Raw genomic sequence first — 21,644 nt, 5'->3', positions numbered from 1 at the left:
ATTTTAAAATTTCTATTACTACTACTATTATGTTATAGTTGATTTCATTAATTCCTTCTTCATTACTCCTTTTTGGTGCTCAACACAAATGTAAATTAGTAAAGAGCACAATAGTTAGCTACTTCTTCTTGAGTGGGTACATACTCATCTTGGGATACTGGTTGGTACTTTTGCAGAGCCATTATTCGGGTGGTGGTATGTATGTCCTTGGAGGCTCTGATGCTGACTGTCTTGTCCTAGATTTTTACAGATGGTCCCAATATTATTTAGTTTACTGAGATGTACAGCTTGGCAGGCATCAAAATATACAGAGACAGGCCCTTTATGTGAGTAAGGGAATACGTCTGTTTTGTTTACAAGTTTACAGACCCCGGTTTCTGTGAGGTTTGTATATGATGGCATTAGGGGTTCGCCAATTTGGACTTCAAACCAGAAGTCACAGGGCAAGAACTCTGGGTCATAACATACTTGGAGCTGCCCATTTCCAGGATCACAGACCAGGTAACTAGTCTGGTTATAGACACAAGTTCCTGTAGGAGTCCCTGTACACTCATAGTAGGTCTGGTATAACAGAGTTTTAGAAGCTGGTCTGGAAAAAGTGTGACTATCATACAGTGATGACAGGCATCCTGGTCCCCTTTTATAACCATAGGTGAAAGTGTCAGTGGCTTCAGTATTACTAATATAATTAAACTTACTTATACTATGCACGGGCACCCTTCTGGATAACAAGTTTGGCAGCATTTGCAAAGATATCATGACAGCAAAACAATCAGTACAAGTAAGAATATAACTATGTTTGTAAATTTAATCCACATTTTCTTGTCTATTGTTGACTTCCTCAGGCTTTGGCTGTGCATAGACTAGTCAGCTTCCAGTTGTGTGACTAGAACAAGGCTCCATGTTTCCTCAAGCTTCAGCCATGCATGGACCGACCAGCCTCCAGTGTGGTCGGAGCAGGGCAGTTGTCCTTGTCAGCAGCAGCTTGGTTTCACTGCAGGATCAGCCGTGTCGGGTGGTCTGGGTTTTGTTGACTGGTCCACTGGTCCTGGGAGGTGGCTACTGCTGGTTTCAGCCAGCTATGATGAACCCAAGGTGTGATACCTGAAACTTTAACAGCAGTGGGGGTAGACAAGATCACAATATGGGGACCATCTCATAAAGGCCTTAAAGTGGATGGGTTCCATCATTTGATCTAGACAGAGTCTCCAGGTTGGAAGTGATGTACTGCATCTGTGAGGCTAACAGGTATCCTTTCTCTTACCCACCCTTGTATTTCCTGCACGGCCTCACCTAAGGCTTGCATTTGCCTTCTTAAGGTTAATCCCCCAATTTCTTTTAAATCTCCTTTTATCTGAGTTATGATAGGGGGTGGTCGGCTGAACAATCTCATAGAGTGAATACCCAGTTAATTTAGTAGGGGTGCACCTGATTCGGAGAAGGACCATGGGCAGCACCTGATCCCACCTTAGATGAGTTTCTTGGCAAAACTTCTTTAACAGCTGTTTGAGTGTCTGGTTCATTCTTTCAACTTTTGAGAACTCTGTGGGCGATAGATAAGCTGTTGGCAGTTTCCATTTGATTTTTAACATCTGCGTTAGCTGTTGTACTATTTTTGCCACAAATGCTGGGCCATTGTCTGGTCCTAAAGTTAGAGGCAGTCAAAATCTAGGAATAATGTCCTTTAATAAGATTCTGGTTACTTCCCGAACTTTCTCTGTCCTGGTGCGAAATGCCTCGGCCCACCCTGAGAAAGTGCAGACAAACATTAGAATGTACCGGTAACCTCTGGCTCGAGGCAGCTAGGTAAAGTCCACAAGCAGGTTTTCACAGGGTGTAGCTCCAGTTTCTTGAATCCCTGGGGGCCATGTTGGCCCCTGCTGTGGATTGTTTTGGGCACAAGTTAAACATTGCTCACAAAGAGCTCGAGTGATGGCAGTTAGGCACGGCACATAGAAATGCCATCCTACACGAGTCTCTAATGCGGTTTTTCCCATATGCGTTTCTTGATGAAATTGCTTTATGAACTGGGGAGCTATTGTTTCTGGGATGGCAAGTCTCCCATCTGAGAACTTCCACAAACTTCCTTTCTGGTAACTTCTGCTCTCCTGCTCAAACCAAGCCTTTTCATTAGAGGAGTAGTTAGGGGGTTCTGTAAGGGGAAGCTCCAGTAAGGGCGTGGTAAGGGTTTCCTCTTCCTTCTTAGTTACGTCTGTCATTGCAGCTCTTTTGGCTTCTCTGTCCACCTTTCTTTTTCCTCTAGCCTCATCACCTCCTCCTGTTCGATGCCGTTTGCAATGGATGACTGCTACTTCTTTTGGAGCCCATACAGCTTCTAAGAGCTGCTCTATTTCCTTTTTATTTTTGACTTCCTTTCCTTCAGTTGTTAATAATCCTCTTTCCTTAGATATGGCTTCATGGGCATGCAGAGTGGCAAAAGCATACCTTGAGTCAGTATAGATGTATACCGACTTTCCTTTGGCCAAGAGCAATGTTTTATTGAGAGCTATTAGCTCAGCTCTTTGGGCCAAAGTTCCAACCGGCAGAGGGCAGGCTTTGGCTACTGAATTCAGTGTTACCACTGCATATCCAGCCAGTCTTCCTTCAGATACGAAGCTGCTTCCATCAGTAAAGTATTCAACATCTGGGTCCTTTAAGGGCTGGTTCTTTAAGTCTTTTCAGCTTCATCCACTGTTTCCACAAAACAGTGATACCCTGGGCCACACAACGGGACTTTCCATGCTCCACCCATTCTATTGGCAGCAGTGTGGCTGGATTTAGAGCATTCACAGTCTCCAAGGTTATATACAGGTTTTCACACAAAAACCCTTGATATCTTAACATCCTAGTGTTAGAAAGCCAGCCATGACCCTTCTGCTCCATCAGGGTGACGACTGCATGGGGCATCCAAATTATTAAACTTTGTTTAAATGTGAGCTTGTTAGCATCTTCCACTAACAGGACAGTGGCTGCCAATGCCTTGAAACAGGGTGGCCATCCCATAGCCACCAAGTCCAGTCGCTTGGACAAATATGCCATGGGCCGATACCATGACCCTAGTGTTTGTACTAAGACTCCTGTAACTATTCCTTTTCTTTCATGGACATATAGGTAAAAAGGCTTTATCATGTCTGGCAGTCCTAATGCTGGGATCTGGATCAAAACCTTCTTGATTTCTTTGAAGGCCATGTCCTGTTCTTTCCTCCACAGGAGGGGTTCCTTTTCCCCCACTTTGGTAGCCTCATACAATGTTTTTGCCAAGAGCGAGTAATTTGGAATCCAAATGCAACAGAAACCAGCTGCCCCTATAAACTCCCACACTTGTTGTCTAGTGTCAGGTCAAGGAATGCCGCACACAGTCCCTTTTTGCTCAAGTCCAAGCTCATACTGCCCTTGAGAGATGTTAAAGCCAAGATACCTTGCTCTTTGGCCACAGATTTGTGCCTTTTCCTTAGATACCTTATAGCCAGCCTTCCACAGAACACGAAGGAGGCTTTCTGTGCCTTGAAAGCACTCTTCTTTTGTGGGTGCAGCCAACAATAAATCATCCATGTACTGAAAGAGGACACAGCGGTCACTTGGTGGCACGAAAGCCTTCAGGTCTGAGGCTAGTGCTTCCTCAAAAAAATGGTTGGGGAGCATTTAAATCCTTGGGAGGCCTGGTCCAAGTATACTGTGATGAGCTCCACTCAAAGGCAAAGATGCCCTGGCTTTCAAGAGCTAGTCAAATGCAGAATAATGCATCCTTTATGTATAAGCACATAAACCCAGCAGCATCAGCAGGAATTTGCCCAAGCATTGTATATGGGTTGGGCACAATGGCATATAATGTAGCTGCAACCTTATTTACTGCCTGCAAATCCTGTAGTGGCCGGTAATCCCCAGAGGGCTTTAACACCAGTAGCAATGGAGTGTTCCAAGAAGAGGCACATCTTTCTATTATCCAAATTTAAGGAGCCAGTCTATATGCTTTATAATCCCATGGGTGGCTTCTACTGGCATGTGATACTGACAGATTCACACTGGGTAATTGCCCCGCAGCAGTTCCACCACTACGGACGCCTGATTTATGGCTAGCCCCAGGGGATTGTCTTCTGCCCAGACCCCTGGCAGCTTGAGAAATAATTCCTCATATATTGCCTCATTTCCCCACTGTCAAAATGCATCTTTACAAATTTTGCGTCTCTCATAGAGTCTCCATTCCTCTCTTGTTGGGACAGTAAGGGTCATTATCATGGCTTTTCTTTGACCTAGGTTTAGAGTCATGTCCCCTTCTGGTGTAAAGATTTGTCCTTACAATTTCTGGAGCAAGTCTTTTCCTAACGAGGGCACTGGACAATTTTGCAAATATAAAAATTCATGTTGGACTTCTTGTCCTCCAATGACACACCTTCTGGATTGACAGAAAGGCCTTTTCTCTGATAGTCTGGTTGCCCCAACTATAGTAGCATAGTTTTTAAAAAGCAGCCCAATGGGCCATGTCACCACCGAGTGTTCAGCACCTGTATCTACCATAAAGTCCATCTGTTGGCCTCCCACTTTCATGGAGACCAGGGGTTCCTGGAGGCCTAGAGAGATGGATCCCAGTCTGTCTCAGTCCTTATATTCCTCAACTCCTGCTAAGCCAACCAGATCAGCGTCTGGCTTTAGAACAATGGCTAGAGGCTGCAGTCCTTGGCTGGGCATCAGGTCCCTGGCTGCTGCTTTCTTCCTTTTCTCTTTCTGGACATTTATCCTTCCAATGCCCTTTCTGTTTGCATCTCATACATTCATCCCTCTCAAGCCTAGGCCAGCCTTCAAACCCTGGCCTAGCTTGTCCTCTCCCGTGACCACATCCATGACCATGTCCACGTCCTCTCACAAAACCAGTCTCTCTTTCAACCAGAGCAGCAGCCAACAAATCAGCCTTTCCCTTGGCTTATGCACTTTGCCCCTTTCTTGATTTCCTCCTCTTGATTAACAAACACCTTAGTAGCTACTTGAATGAGCTGGATAATATTCATACCCTCAAAACCTTCCAACTTCTGAAGCTTCCATCTAATGTCACCTTGTGCCTGGCCCACAAATGCCACATTAACCATGCATTGATTCCCTACAGCCTCCAGATCAAATGGTGTATAAAGCTGGAATGTTTCACAGAGTCTTTCATAAAATTCACTGGGACTCTCATCAGCCTTTTGGCATACGTCTGAGACCTTTCCCATATTCATTGCCTTTTTCCCTCCAGCCTTTATTCCATTAAGAAGTGCCTCCAAATACCTCTGCAGGTTTTGCAGTTCTGCCTGGTTGGATCCCAATTTGGATCTGCTTCTGGGAACCTCTCCTGTGCATACCACTTGACATAATTTTTGCCTTCAGATGCATTGCTTTCTAACCACTGTAAGGCTCTCTGAGCAACTCTCCCGCATTCTTCTGTATTGAACAATGTTAAAAGTAGTTGCTGACAATCAGGCCAGGTAGGGTTAAGAGTCACAAAGATGGACCGCATCAAGTCCATGAGGGCCTGGGGCTTCTCTGCGTAGGAGGGTGTATGCTGTTTCCAGTTAAGGAGGTTAGTGGTGGAGAAAGGCTTGTAAACCAAAAGGCATTGCTCTCCTTGTACTTGACCTTATTTAGCATGATAAATTTGGCTTTTTGTCTCCTGGAGAAACATCTGCATGGCTTGGGTGCGGCCGGATCTGAGACAGCCTGCCCCGTCACCTTGAAGTGCTTCTTTAGTCTTTATAGGTAGGGGGCTCTGACTCTTCCCTGCGGGGTGATGCCTGAGGCTCACTCTCCTCTGAACTTGATTCCTCAGGGGCCGCTTGTGCAGCATCTTGCCTTGGCCTTGCTAGAGATGGATAGATTGGGACATAGAGAGGTGGAAACTCCCTCTTCTCGGGCAAGGCCTGCAGAACAGGTTTTTTATGTTTTCCTTAAGGCTTTTCCTTTCTTTCCACCATCCCTTTAGGTTCTTTTGCTACCTCAGATCTGGCACGAGCTACCAGGGTCTTACAGGAAGTCTCATAACAGGCTTGTAAACACTTGGGGTGAGTTTGAATGATGCTCAGCCAGGAGTCAATGTATGGGAACGGGTCCAGGTACCCAGGCTGTTCTTTGACTCTGGTTATGACCCTAAACACAAGGCCAATTATCTCTCTGTCTATCGTTACTTAGGCCAGCCACCCAACACTAAAAGAAGGCCAATCTATTTCACAGAGAGTTCTCAATCTCTGAGGGGTTAATTTAACTCCATAATATCCATTAAAACCTTTCTTGAAATTCTCCAACATCCACTCCAATGGAGTAGGCTTTGATGCTTTTCCTCCCATTCCACCCTTTGTGATGCACTTTCACTCTCACTTTCACTCCTGGACAGACCAGACCAGGTCCTATTACAGCAGGTTCAGACTCTGCTTAGCCAGGAGCATGCCTGTCACAGCTAGCTGCAGCTATAGAGCTGGTCCTATGGGCTGTATGCAGTGTCATAGGTCTGGTTTTTCCCACACTTGCCTTGGAGCACACAGTACACACTAAGAGATCTGTGTCTCCCCACATCACGCCCCACATTGGTCTCTCCCAGGACCATCTCTTTCACTCACTTTCACACACCTCCCCATCCCTGAAACAGTTTTTCTTTCTGACCGACTCACGAGCCCCACCCACATCTGGTGTCGGTTAGGGTGTGAGTTTCATCCAAATCAATGGCCTTCTCCAACTGTCCCAACCCCCTCAGGTCAGACTAGTCCTCATACCCTGGCAGGTGATCAGGCTCCCCTTCCATCTTTATGGGACAGGTCTTGCCTTAGGGCCAAAACCTTACCACGGTTCAGATGTCTATGTGCTGCTCCCGTGACTGTCCTGCAACCCTTTCTACCAGTTCCATTTGTGCTGTCGGGGGAGGGCTCTGGAACGAGGGAGGGACATTCCCCTTCCAGGCTGAAACTCTCCTGGTGGCACCAAGGACCCCAGGTCTCCTGCATCGTGGGGCTCTAGCCCACAGGCAAAGAAGATAGAAAATAGGCCATCTCCAATCCCAAACGGGCCCGCAGAAATATTATGGGACAATCAAAGACTGGAGAAACTGAAAAAGGTTCAGGAGAGTTTATCAAATCAAGGTGATCACTGACTCAGCCAGACATACATCCAGAAAGTCTGAACCCCGAACAAAGGACTTTTCCTACTTTTAAACATCTTAAGGCAGGAACTACGTGAGGTGGGATGCAAGTTATAGAAGCAAGAAAAAAAGGCAGCATTACAACATTTCTTACATCTTGAGAGAAACATGTCTTGCAACCTAAACTTATCAGTCTTGTGACCCTGCAGCCAGGCAGGAACTCACTGGGCCCATAATAAATGCTGAGGAATGTGGAGGTGGAGAGTATAGATAAGGTCCACTGTCCACAGAGAGAAGACAGGCTGTTAGTATTCTCTTTTAACTTGAGTGTAAGGAGGGGTCACCCTTTGCAGCAACTTTAAGAGGATTTTAAAATTTCTATTACTACTACTATTAGGTTAGAGTTGTTGATTTCACTAATTCCTTCTTCAATAGAGTACTTCTTTTGTGAAACCAAGGGCCAGTCTTTAAATAAAAATAATTTCTATTTGAGCAGGTTGGGAGGAGCAGCAGAAAAAAGATCAATTACCTCTCTAAGTAATGGTAATTAATAATTCTAAGGAAAGGAGAAAGTACTGTACTTACAGTAAGACAGTAATATAACCCTTTTCTTACTCATTTTGGATTTAGCTAGGATTTATGTCTCAAACCCTAAGGCCTGGAACACCAGAAGAGGTGTTAGGCACACACTTGGCAATGCCTGACATTTACCACTTAGCCTTAGGGCCTGGGAGATAAAAGGAACCAGTGAAGAATGTGACACAATAGTGATCATATGCCCAAACTAGGGAAATGGCCACTTCTCTACTTGTTTTTTGCCTAATGGAATGTGTGCTTGTGTTGTTTGATATTCTGTATTTCAAGAGAACCTAGACACACAGATGTTTAAGTGAAATCTCTAGAGCTTCCACATATGTTCAAGATCTCTCCCTCCTTTCTCCTTTCCTGCCTTCCTTCCTTTTATGTACCTTCCTTCTTTTTATTCTTTCTTTTTTACTATTTAACATCAAATAGGTCAAAGTTAAATGCTGAAACCAAGCAATTATGCAAATTTAAGTCAACTGGTTTGTGATTTCTGGTTGAGATAAAACTGTGCCTGAGAATCCACCTCCAGGGTTCTAAGAGTTGCATCTATTGTTGGACTAATGTCTATGAAAGTTAACAAACACACATGCCCATAATCTCATTGAACTGGTAGGAATTAAAAATTAAACCCAGGTCCATGCAACTTCATGTCCAGTATTATTTCTACTATGCATTTTGGATCTTAGGCTATAGAAATAAGATCTACCTACTGTCATCCAAAGGAAGCATAAAAACATGATGTTTTATATGAATACAAAACTTTATATATATATATAGTTATGATCACACATGTTTAGTTAATGTATTAGGCACCCTGAATAGAAGAATTTTCATAATAAGATTGATAAGATATATTCTGCATCAATCCTACATTCTTTGTTAAATAGAACCACACAAAATTCAACAATGACACCCCTCTGGAATCTTGGGACCCCCAGAAGCCCTGTAGCTGAATGGCAAACAGAATGAGGCTGGTAATGAGTTGCATTGGGTGAAGTCCCTGCCCCAATATTTACTAAAAATAAAATGTTCAAAGGTGTCTCAGCCTTCTTAAGCTTCATTTCCTTTATAAGATAAAGAAATAATAAAAATAACATTACCTATCTCAGAGTGTTAGTTAGAGAAAAACAGAATTATAAATGTAGAGACTGCAACAGAAGATCTAGTGTATACTATGCACTCAAAAAATAAATAACATAGTTATTGACATTATTTTATTCTAGAACTTGTGGGTCAGCTTGTGACAAAACCCTCAAAATTTTGATTAAAAACTTAGAAAATTATCTTTGGCACTCAAATCACAGGCAGAAGGTGATAAAACGTTTTACTGCTGCTGCTTTCTATTCTGATTTACTGCTGCAAACAAACACCCCTCCTCCCCCAAAAGAAAAAAAAAGGTCTATGAGGAACCTCTGTGAGGAGGTAATTGTGTGAATTTGTGTGTGTGTGTGTGTGTGTATGCATGATAGATATCTATACTATATTTTAGACTAAATTCAGAAGTTTTCTCATTTGCATATAGAGTATATTTCTATCTGCAGGAGGCCAGTTGGACCCTGTCTGTATTTGGAAACCATTTAGGGAAACTCTAAGTCAGCTTAAAATGTCAAACAATTCTTTGTGGCTCAATGGGATTATAGGCTTTTTTTCAAAAATTTCTTCTTTGCACTTTTTTTTTGCATTTTTCTTTCTTAATGAACATGTAATATATTTAAAACTAAAAAGTTTTAATTTAAAAGGAAAATAGCTCAAGAATTTTATAATATTCATAAGTATTTAGTGATTTTTGATATGACTAATAAAATCAAATAAAAATATATTAATATTTGCAAGTACTTTTGAGACATTATTGGCTTTGAGAATTTGATCAGAATGACCTTGAAATACAGACTGTAATTTCTCTTGAGTAGAGTGGAAAGATAATTTAGGCCAGCACATTTACCTTAAGTTATATAACAACAAACCTGTATTTTTTATTGAAAATGTGACTTACATTGACTTCTACTCAGAGCAAGTGGTTCAACTATTCTTCTTCATAACAAGATAGTTTAAACCCTATGCCATTTATCACTCATTAAGTCACTTAGTGATTTAAAACAAAAGGGACATATTTAACTCATGAATCTGTGGGTCAGCTGAGTCATTCTTTTGGTGCCAGCCATATTTAGCTGATCTGAGCAGAGCTCACTCATGGATCTGCAGTCATCAGGTCAGTGGCTGGCCTAGGATGTCCTCACTCCTGTCTAATGATTGGCTGGCTGTTGGTCAGGGTGAAGATGGTGATGGTTCACTTGTCTCCCTCCAGCAGGCCATCCTGGATTTGCACACATCGTTGTTTGCAAGAATCTCAAGAGAGTAAAGCCTGGACTTGGAATTGGCACACCATCACTTCTGCTGCATTCTTTCGTTCAGTGTCACTCACCAGGCACAGTCATATTCAAATAGCGAGGAAAGAGATTTCACCTCTTAATGGTAAGAGCAGCAAATCACACTGCACAGGACATGGATACAAGAAGTAAACAATTGGGGGTCATTATTGAAATTGATTAATTATAAACCTTGCTTGCTGGTATTTGCAAGTGTGCAATCAAATATCCCACAGGATCAAACTCCTGGTGTTCAAACATTGATGGTATTAAAATAAATGGGTCGGTATGGCAGTATGTAGAGACACAGTGTACTGTATGAACATTTTAGGTATAAAACTAATAGCCTAATGAAGTCTCATTCCTTGTGTTCCCACTTTTCCATTTTAATGGAAATGTAACACATTTGGTTCTTTCACAAAAAAGAAAAGGTAGCTGTGTTCCAAAGAGCCCCAGTCCTTCTGCACTTCTGCCTGCCTTTAATGTAAAACATCCCAACCAGGACCAGCAATCTCTTTCCTCTTCTCTAAGTAAAGTTAGACTCGGTTCATAAGTCTTCTACATGCTCTTTATAATTTTACTCAATAACTTCAATACCAGTTCCAAACAGTAGTTGTGGTTTGAAGGAGAAAACCAGTGGTATGCTATGAATTCATGTAAATGAAGTAATTGACTATGGTTAAGAATTGAGCAAGAACTTTTTTGTTACGGAGAAGTAAGTTTCACTTACTGAGTAGAACAGTAAACAATTAGAAAATGGATTTTCTCTAGGTGAAATTAAGACTATATAGTACACAGTATGTTTTGTTTATGTGCTGGGGGTGGGAGGAGAGGGCTAAGGAACAATATATCTGGCACTATTTTCTCCTTACCTAACATACAATCCCCTTTATCTTCCTAGTTAATAGAATTACAACTTGAGAGAATGAGAGTATGGATGGCACCAAAGTGCCCAGCACCCAGTGATGACAAATCATGACTTGTCTAAGCCAATATTGTTAAACCTGCCCTCAGCTTGTCTAGATTCCCTTATAGACAAAGGTGGCTATGTAATCAGTTATTGACCAAAGAGTCACAAAAAAACATCTAGTAAGGGTAGGGATTTGGGGAAAATAATGTAAGTTTTAAAGACAGTATAAATGCACATTTCTATTTTTCTTTTTAAAATTTTTGTGGGTATATAGTAGGTGTATATATTTATGGGGTACATGAGATGTTTTAATACAGACATGTAATGTGAAATAAGCACATCACGGGGAATGAGGTATCCATCCCCTCAAGCCTTTATCCTTTAGTTATAAACAGCCCAATTACACTTTTAAAGTTATTTTAAAATGTACAATTAAGTTACTATTCACTATTGTTACCTTATTGTGCCATGAAATAGTGGGTCTTATTCATTCTTCTTATTTTTTTGGTAGCTATTAACCATCCACCTCTCTGCCCTCCACTACCCTTCCCAAACTCTGGTAACCATCCTTTTACTCTCTATGCCCATGAGTTTCACTGTTCTGATTTTTAGATCCCACAAATAAGTGGGAACATATAATGTCTGTCCTTCTGTTCCTGGCTTATTTCACTTAACATAATGATCTCCAGTTCCATCTACGTTGTTGCAAATGACAGGATCTCATTCTTTCTTTTTTATAGCTGAATAGTACTCCACTGTGTATATGTACCACATTTTCTTTAACCATTCATCTGTTGATGGACACTTTTGCTTCCAAATCTTAGCTATTGTAAACAGTGCTACAACAAACATAGGAGTCCCTACCGATTTCCTTTCTTCAGGTCTATACTCAGCCAGTGGGATTGCTGGATCACAGAGTAGCCCTACTTTAAGTTTGTTGAGGAACCTCCAAACTGTTCTCCATAGTGATTGTATTAATTTACATTCCCACCAACAGTGTATAAGGGTTCCCTTTTCTCCACATCCTTGCCAGCATTTGTTATTGCCTGTCTTTTGGCTATAAACCATTTTAACTGGGATACGATGATACCATATTGTAGGTTATTTTGTTGTTGTTGTTTTTGTTTGTTTGTTTTTTTGAGATGGAGTCTTCCTCTGTCACCCAGGCTGGAGTGCAGTGGTGCAATCTCAGCTCACTGCAAGCTCTGCCTCCCGGGTTCATGCCATTCTCCTGCCTCAGCCTCCTGAGTAGCTGGGACTACAGGCATCTGCCACCACACCCAACTAATTTTTTTGTATTTTTACTAGAGACGGTGTTTCACCCTGTTAGCCAGGATGGTCTCGATCACCTGACCTCGTGATCCGCTGGCCTCGGCCTCCCAAAGTGCTGGGATTACAGGCGTGAGCCACCACGCCCGGCCCAGTTTTTAATAGTTTTTCTGTGGAGTCTTAGGTTTATATAAATAAAATATTATATCATCTGCAAATAAGGATAATTTGACTTTTTCGTTTCCAATTTGGATGCCTTTTATATCCTTCTCTTGTCTGATTGCTCTAGCTAGGACTTCCAGTACTATGTTCAATAACAGGGGTGAGAGTGGGTATCCTTATCATGTTCCAGATCTTAGAGAAAAGACTTTCAGGTTTTCCCCATTCAGTTTAATACTAGTTGTGGGGTCTGTCATACATGAATTTTATTATCTTGAGCTATGTTACTCCTATCCCCTGTTTCTGGAGGGTTTATATTATGAAGGGATATTAAATTTTATCAAGTGCTTTTTCAGCATTAACTGAAATGATCATTTTTTTATCCTTCATTCTATGTGTGTAATGTATCACATTGACTGATTTGCATATGTTGAACAATGTTTGCATCCCTGAGATGAATCCCGCTTGGTCATGAGAAATAATATTTTTAATGTATTGTTGAATTCAGTTTGCTAGTATTTTATTGAGGATTTTTGAACCAATATTTATCAAGGATATTGGTCTGTAGTTTTCTGTTTCTTGATATGTCCTTCTCTGGTTTTGTTTTCAGGGTAATACTGGCCTTATACAATGAGTTTGGATGTATTCCATTCTTCTCTCCCTTTCAGAATATTTTTAGTAGGATTGGTATTAATCTGCCTTTAAATGGTTGGTAAAATTCAGCAGTAAAGCCACAAGATCCCAGGCTTTTCTTTCCTGAGAGACTTTCCATTATTATTTCAATCTCATTACTTGTTATTAGTCTGTTTAGATTTCTTCATAATTCAATCTTGGTAGGTTGTATGTGTCTAGAATTTTTCCAATTTATTGGCATATAGTTGCTTATAGTAGCCGGTAATGATCCTTTGATTTTCTGCAGTATTGGTTGCAATGTCTGCTTTTTATCTCTAATTCTATTTATGTGGGTCTTCTATTTTTCTTGGTTAGTCAGGCTAAAGGTTTATATTTTTTGGTATCTTTTCATAAAACCAAGTTTTCATTTCATTGATCTATTTTTGTTTTCTTCATTTCAATCATTTTTACTTTCTACTAATTGTGGATTTGGTTTGCTCCTGCTTTTCTAGTTCTTTAAGATGCATCATCGTGGTATTTATTTGAAGTTTTTTTTTTTTTTATGTAGGTACTTATTGCTATAACCTTCCCTCTCAGTACTGCTTTCTCTGTATCCCTGATGTGTTTCCATTCTCATTTGTTTCAAGATATTTTTCATTTTCCTTCTTATTTTCTTCATTCACCCACTGGTCATTTAGGAACATATTGTTTAATTTCCATGGGTTTCTTTAGTTTCCAAAATTCCTCTTGCTATTGATTTCTAGTTTTATTCCATTGTTATCAGAGAAGATACTTGATATTATTTCAATTACTTTGAATGTTTTGAAACTTGTTTTGTCTATCCTTGAGAATTATTCATGTGCTGAGGAAAAGATTGTGTATTCTGCAGCCATTGGATGAAATGTTTTGTAAATATCTATTAGGTCCATTTGTTCTACACTTCAGATTAAGTCTGCTGTTTCTGTATTAATTTTCTTTCTGGAAGATCTGTCCAATGCTGAAAGCACTATGTTGAAGTCTCCAGCTTTTTTGAATTACGGTCTCTCTCTTTAGCTCTAGTAATACTTGCTCTATATATCTGAGTGATCCAGAATTGAATGCATATAGACTTACAATTGTTATATTCTCTTGATGAATTGACCCCTTTATCATTCTATAATGACCTTCTTTGTCTCTTCTTTTTATTTTATTTTTTTGAGATGGAGTTTTGCTCTTGTTGCCCAGGCTGGAGTGCAATGGTGCAATCTTGGCTCACTGCAACCCCTTTCTCCCAGGTTCTAGCAATTGTCCTGCCTCAGCCTTCTGAGAAGCTAGGATTACAGGCACCCACCACCATGCCTGGCTAATTTTTGTATTTTTATTAGAGACAGGGTTTCACCATGTTGGCCAGGCTAGTCTTGAACTCCTGACCTCAGGTGATCTACCTGCCTTGGCCTCCCAAAGTGCTGGGATTATAGCCATGAGCCACTGGGTGCTTCTTATAGTTGTGGTCTTGAAATCTCTTTTGTCTGATATAAGTAGAGCAACTCCTGCTCTCTTTTGGTTTCCATTAACATGGAATATCATTTTCCATCTCTTTATTTTCAGGTTATGTGTATTTTTATAGGTGAAGTGTGTTTCTTCTAGGCAACAGATCATTGGGTCCTGTTTTCTCATCCATTCACCCACTCTATGTCTTTTGATTGGAGAGTTTAGTCTATTTATATTAAATGTTATTATTGATGAGTTAAGGACTGATTCCTGTCATTTTGTTATTTGTTTTTTGGTTGTTTTGTGATCTTCTTTCCTTTCTTCCTGTCTTCCATATAATGAAGGTAATTTTATCTGGTGATGTACTTCACTTTCTTGCTCTTTTTTTTGTGCGTATCCATTGTATGTTTTTAGATTTGTGGTTACCATGAAGCTTTGCAAATAGTATCTCATATCTTATTATTTTAAACTGATGACTCCTTAACACTGATTGCATGAGCAAACAAGCAAATAATAAAAACTAAAAGCAAAAAGAAACTAAAAAATCTAAAAAAAAGAAACAAAAAGAAAACTAATAGAAATGCTACTCTTTAACTTCATCTCCCTGCTTTATAACTTTTGTTGTCTCTATCTTATTTTACTGTCTATGTCTTGAAAAGTTGTTGTAGTTATTATTTTATCTTTTCATATTTCTACTTAAGCGTGGTTCACACACCACAGTTACAATGTTATAATAGTCTGTGATTTTCTGTTTTGTACATTCAAATGATTTTTTTGTTGCTCATTACAAACTTTTTCTTGCATACTGAAGTACTCCCTTTAGCATTTATTGTCAGACAGTTCTGATGTTGATGAAATCCCTCAGCTTTTGTCTGTGAAAGTCTTTACTTCTTCATGTTTGAAGAATATTTTCACCTGATAAACTATTCAAGGGTAGAAGTTTTTTTTCTTTAGGACTTTAAGTATGTTATGGACTTTAAGTATGTTATGCCACTCTCCCCTTGCCTATAAGGTTTCCACTGAAAAGTCTACTGCCAGATGTATTGGAGCCCCATTGCTTGTTATTTATTTTCTCTCACTACTTCTAGGATTCTTTACCTATCCTTGACCTTTGAAAGTTTGATTTTTTTTTTTTTTTGAGGTGGAGTCTCACTCTGTCACCCAGGCTGGAGTGCAGTGGCACGATGTCGGCTCACTACAACCTCCGCCTGCTGGGTTCAAACAATTCTCTGCCTCAGCCTCAGCCTCCCGAGTAGCTGGGATTAGAGGCACCATGCCCGGCTAATTTTTTTATTTTTGATAGAGATGGGGTTTCATCATCTTCACCAGGCTGGTCTTGGACTCCTGACCTTGTGATCCACCCACCTCGGCCTCCCAAAGTGCTGGGATTACAGGCGCGAGCCACTGCGCCCAGCTGCAAGTTTGATTATTAAATGCCTCAGGGTAGTCTTCTTTGTGTTAAATCTGCTTGGTGTTCTATAACCTTCTTGTACTTTCTCTAGGTTTGGAAAGTTATCTATTTTTATCCCTTCAAGTGAACTCTCTACTTTTATCTCTTCTTCTACCTCCTCTTTAAGGCCAATAACTCTTAGATTTGCTCTTTTGAGGCTATTTTCTAGATCCTGTAGTCATGCTTCATTGTTTTTTATTATTTTTTCTTTTTGTCTCCTCTGTGTATTTTCAAATAGCCTCTATTCGAGCTAATTCTGCTTTATCCATTCTAATTCTGCTTTATCCATTCTGCTATTGAGAGACTCTGATGCTTTACTCAGTATGTCAAATACATTTTTCTATTGCAGAATTTGTGCTGCTTTTTTAAATTTTCAATCCCTTTGTTAAATTTATCTTATAGAATTCTGAATTTCTTCTCTGTGTTATCTTGAATTTCTTTCTTCAAGTTTCTTCAAAACAGCTATTTTGAATTCTCTGTCTGAAAGGTTACATATCTTTGTTTCTCCAGGATTTTTTCCTGGTGCCTTATTTAGTTTATTTGGTGAGGTGTTCATTTTCTGGATGATGTTGATGGTTATTGATGTTTGTCAGTGTCCAGGCATTGAACAGTTGGGTATTTATCATAGTCTTCACAGTCTGGGCTTGTTTGTAGCCATCTTTCTTCAAAAGGCTTTCTATGCACTTGAAGTGACTTAGGTGTTGTAAGCTAAGCCAAACTGCATTAGAGGGCACACCCAGCCCAGTAACACTGTGGTTCTTGCAGACTTGTAGAGATACTGCATTGGTGGTTTTAGATAAGATCTAGAAGAATTATCTGCATTACCAGGCAGAGACTCTTACTTTTCCACATAGATGATGTCTGTCTCTCTGTCCTGATTCAGGTGACACAAGCCCCCACTGTGGCCACCGTCACTAGGACTGCACTGAGTCAGACCTGAAGCCAGCACAGTACTTAGTTATTGCTCAAGGCCTGCTGTAACCACTACGTACCAGCCACTTATGTTTGCTAAGTGCCTAGGGCTCTGCAGTCAGCAGGTGGCAAAGCCAGCCAGACTTTATGTTCTTCCCTTCAGGGCAGTGAGTTCTCCCAGGCCCTCCTGCATCCAGAGATGCTATCTGGGAGCCAGAAACTGGAGTCAAAAACCTTAGAAATCTACCTGGTGCTCCGTACTACCATGGCTAAGGCCACTCTTTCCTGCCCTTCCCACAAACCAAGGAGTCTCTCCCTGTGGCTACCACTACCACAGGCCCACAGTGAGTACTATCAGGCTACCACTGATGTTCACTTAAGACCCCAAATCTTTTCAGTCAGCTTGTGGTATATACTGCTAGGCCTGACACTTACCCTTCAGGAAAGTGTGCTCCCCTGTGGCCCAGGGCAGGTCCAGAAAGGCCATCCAAGAATCAAGGCCTGGAACTGGGCACACCAAGAGCTTGGTGCTCTACCCCGCTGTGGCTGAGCTGGTACCTAAGGTACAAGACAAAGTCTCCTTTACTTTATACTCTGCCTTTCTCAATTAGAAGGAGTCTTTCCCTATAGACAACACAGCTGGGAATGTGCTGAGTCAGACCTGAAGCCAGCATGTCTGTCTCACCCATAGCCTAGGGTATGTATTACCTGGGTATCAGTGCTCGTTATTCAGGGTTCAAGTGCTCTTTCTTTAGTCGGCAAATGATGAATCCTGCCATGACTGCTTCCTTCCCTTTAGGCCCAGAGTGTGTCTAGAAATGTCATTCAGGAGCTAGGGGCTGGGATGGGGAACTTCAAGGCTCTTCCCAGTGCTCTATTAGACTGTGACTGAGCTGGTATTCAACATGCAAAACAAAGTGCTCTTTACTCTTCCCACTTCTCTCCTCAAGAAGGAAGAAGTCGGTTTTGTTGCTGCGAACTCTGCTGCCTGGTGTTGGAGGAGGGGTGGTGCAAGCACTCTCTTAGCTGCCCCAACTGGTGTCTCATTAGGATATGTGACCCCAACATCCACTGTCTTCATGCCCAGGACAGTGCTAGGACTTACCTTAGAACTGTAGTCCGTGTAACCTACACTGCCTTCCAAGTTTGTTTAGAAACCCAGAGCACTTTAGCCCATGGTGGTGAGGCTTGCTGGAGCTCAATTGCTGACTGCTGGGATTGGCAGTTCTACTCTGGCTGGGGCTGGTCTAAATGCTCTCTCCATGAGTGGGCATCCACTGAGTTCAGGCTGGGTTTGCTTTCCGCTGTGACAGGGCAGCAAGGAGTTCAATGCACTGTCTCACAGGCACTGAGACTTCCCTTCCTCAAATACACAGATTCTCCATGCCACACAGTCATAGTAGTGCGGATGGAAGAGGGGTGGCATTAGTGATTCAAAATTGTTTTTTCTATCCTCTTCAGTGCTTCTTTCAGTGATATGAATAAGTCAATACCAGGTACTGTGATTGCTCACCTGAGTTTTGGTTCTTATGAAAGTGCTTTTTTATGCAGATAGTTGTTAAATTTGGTGTTCCTGCAGGGGGGATGATCAATAGAGGCTTCTATTTGGCCATCTTGCTCAGCCTCCCCCATCTGTTGAAATAATTTAAAGTGGACTAAATAAATGGAAAGATATTCCATGGTCATGTATCAGATGACTTAATATTGTTCAGGTGGTAATATACCCCCAAATTAACATACACATTCAATGCAAATCCCAGCAGGCTTCTTTGCAGGAATAGGCAAGCTGATTCTAAATTCATTTTGAAATTTAAGAGATCCAAAATAGCCAAAATAATGTTGAAAAAAGAACAAAGTTGGAAGACTCATACTTTCTGATATTAAAACATATTACAAACCTGTAGCAATTAAGAAAGCATAGTGCTGGCATAAGGATAGACATATAGATGAATGGTATAGTAGTGAGAGCCCAGAGACAAACTTTAGTTTTACATTAAATTGATTTTCAGAAAGATCGCCATGATAATTCAGTGGGGAAAGAATAATCTTTTCAACAAATAGTGCTGGGAAACTTTATTCACATTCAAAACACTGAACTCCCACTCCACATCATACAAAAAAAATTAACTCATGATCATTGATCTAAATGTAAATCCAAAACTCTAAAGCTCTCAGGAGAAAACCTTCATGACAGTTAGGCATACGCTTTTATATAACAGAATAAAGCCAAGCAACAATTTTAAAAAATAGGTAAACTGGACTTCATCAAAATTAAAAATATTTGTGTTTCAAATGATACATCAAAAAGTAAAAAGATAAATCATAGAATGGTGAAAATAGTTGTAAATTATATATGTGATGAGACTTGTATCTAGAATATATAAGAATATTACAACTCAATAATAAAAAGACAATTTAAAAATGTCAAAAGATTTGAATAAACATTTCTCCAAAGCAGATACATAAATGGCCAATAGACAAATGAAAAGGTGCTCTACATTGTTGACCATCAAGAAACTAATCGTGCTGTAGCATTTTAATTTACATTTATCTTAAGCATAAGGAAAGTCATAACCTCTTGGCTCTTCCTGAGAGTCATGAGATCCCCCATCCCAGTCCCTAGCTCCTGGATGACATTTCTAGACACACCCTAGGCCAGAAGGGAAGCTGCTGCCTTGAAAGGAAGGAACCAGTCATGGCAGGATTCATCATGTGCCAACTGAAGAACACTTGGACCTTAAGCATAAAAGAAATGTAAATTAAAATGCTATAGCTTAAAAACATGAGGATAGGGTTATACATCAACCCCACCTTTCCTTTCATGTTCTAGGATAGAACTAATGCTTTATTCTTGTTAGGAGAAAGTATACTTACTTACACATTTGATGCTTTTTTAAATTTAAGGTTAACAACTAAAGACACACACACACACACACACTCCACATCATTAGAGAAAAATTTTACAAAAATCAACTTAAAAGAAGCTGGAGAATTAAACAAAAAAATATCTGTTACTGATGGTGTAAGTCCAAATATATCTGTGGTTATAATTCATACAAATGGATTAAAATCACCAAATAAATAAAAATTAGGGGTTTTCATATTATAAAAAATGATAGTACTACTCTGGCCCATTGGTTTATTGTTTCTAAGTCAAGGTATATGCTACTTCCTGGAGAAACATCTGTAAGAGATCTAAGAGAAGAGTTTAAAATACAATAATGAAAAAGACACATCGTATAAATGAGGCATCCCCAACCCTGGGAGCATGGACTGGTACCTGTCCATGGCCTGTTAGGTACCAGGCAGCACAGCAGGAGGTGAGCAGCTGATGAGAGCGCATTACCACCTGGCTCTGCCTCTCAGATCAGCAGGACATTAGATTAGATTAGATTATCATAGGAGTGCAAACTCTATTGTGAACTGTGCGTGCAAAGGATCTAGGTGGCATGCTGCTTATGAGAATCTAATGCCTGATGATCTAAGGTGGAACAGTTTCATCCTGAAACCATCCCCACCCCCCACAATGCCCCATCCCCCCACCATGGAAAAATTGACTCCTAAAAAACCAGTCCCTGGTGCCAAAAAGGTTGGGGACCACTGCTGCATAGTGAATAGAAATAAAGAACATAACTTTCTGAAAACAAAAAAAGATGAATAAAATCAGATATGTTTGAATATATTTCTATGTATGAAAAATCATTTAGAGATAGTTACAAAATGTCATTACAGCAAACTCGAATAAAATAATAAATATACTATTTTGTGGATGGGAAGATATAATGTGATAAAAACATAAAATTTCTAAATGTTAAATAATATATAATCTCAATATAATTCCATTCAAAATTACACAGGGGTTTTCATGAAACTTAATAAACTCAACCTAAAATTCACAGAGAAGAAAAGCCTCAAGAATAACTAAGATATTACATGATCTCACTCATGTGTGCAATCTAAAATCTCGGCCAGGCATGGTGGCTCATGCCTGTAATCCCAGCACTTTAGGATGCCGAGGTGGGTGGATCACCTGAGGTCAGGAGTTCAAGACCAGCATGGCCAGCATGGCGAAACTCCATCTCTACTAAAAATACAAAATTAGCCAGGCATCATGATGGGCACCTGTAGTCCCAGCTACTCAGGAGGCCAAGGCAGGAGAATTGCTTGAACCCAGGAGGTGGAGGTTGCAGTGAGCCGAGATTGCACTACTGCACTCCAGCCTGGGCAACAGAGCGAGACTCTGACTCAATCAATCAATAAACAAATAAGTTGATCTTACAAAGGTTGAGAGTAAAACTGTGATTACCACAGCCTGAGAAGGGTAGAGAGGAGGGGAACATTGTTAGAGGTTGCTCAACGGGTACAATATTAGATAACTAGTTAGGAGGAATAAGTTCTAGTACTCTGTGGCACAGGAAGATGACTACAGCCAACAATAATGCATTGTATGTTTCAAATAGCTAGAGGAGAGGATTTTCAATGTCCTCAGAACAAAAAAATAAGGTGATGGGTATGCTAATTACCATGACTTGATCATTACACAATGTATGCATGGATCAAAACAACATATTGTACCCCATAAATATGTATTATTCAATTATTATGTGTCAATTAAGAGAATAGGAACTAAGATGTATTTGAAGAAGGATAAGGCAGGGGGAAACATCCCAGCTATAAAACCTTTTTGCAAAGTTTTGCAAAGTATAACAAAAATCCAGAATAATGAAAGCACAAAAATAAATTGATTGGTAGAATAGAACAGAAAATTCAAACTAAGACCTATCATAACTAGATAGATGAGAATTGACTTTATAA

The 21,644-nt window shown here is 40.4% G+C and overlaps 1 long non-coding RNA gene across 1 annotated transcript; it reads right to left on the bottom strand.

Moving 5' to 3' along the window:
• Positions 1 to 9,133: 9,133 nt before the first annotated feature.
• On the bottom strand, positions 9,134 to 18,461 carry LOC124909365 (uncharacterized). The gene is made up of 3 exons (XR_007095867.1): positions 18,343 to 18,461; positions 17,265 to 17,387; positions 9,134 to 10,172 (listed from the first exon to the last, which is right to left on the bottom strand). It is a non-coding gene; the product is annotated as an uncharacterized LOC124909365 (long non-coding RNA).
• Between the last annotated feature and the right edge of the window lie 3,183 nt (positions 18,462 to 21,644).

The sequence above is a fragment of the Homo sapiens genome, chromosome 3, assembly GCF_000001405.40.
Source record: "Homo sapiens chromosome 3, GRCh38.p14 Primary Assembly".
Lineage (NCBI taxonomy): Eukaryota > Metazoa > Chordata > Mammalia > Primates > Hominidae > Homo > Homo sapiens.
Note: the sequence above shows the minus strand (reverse complement) of the source record. Positions and strands in the feature narration are given on the sequence as shown.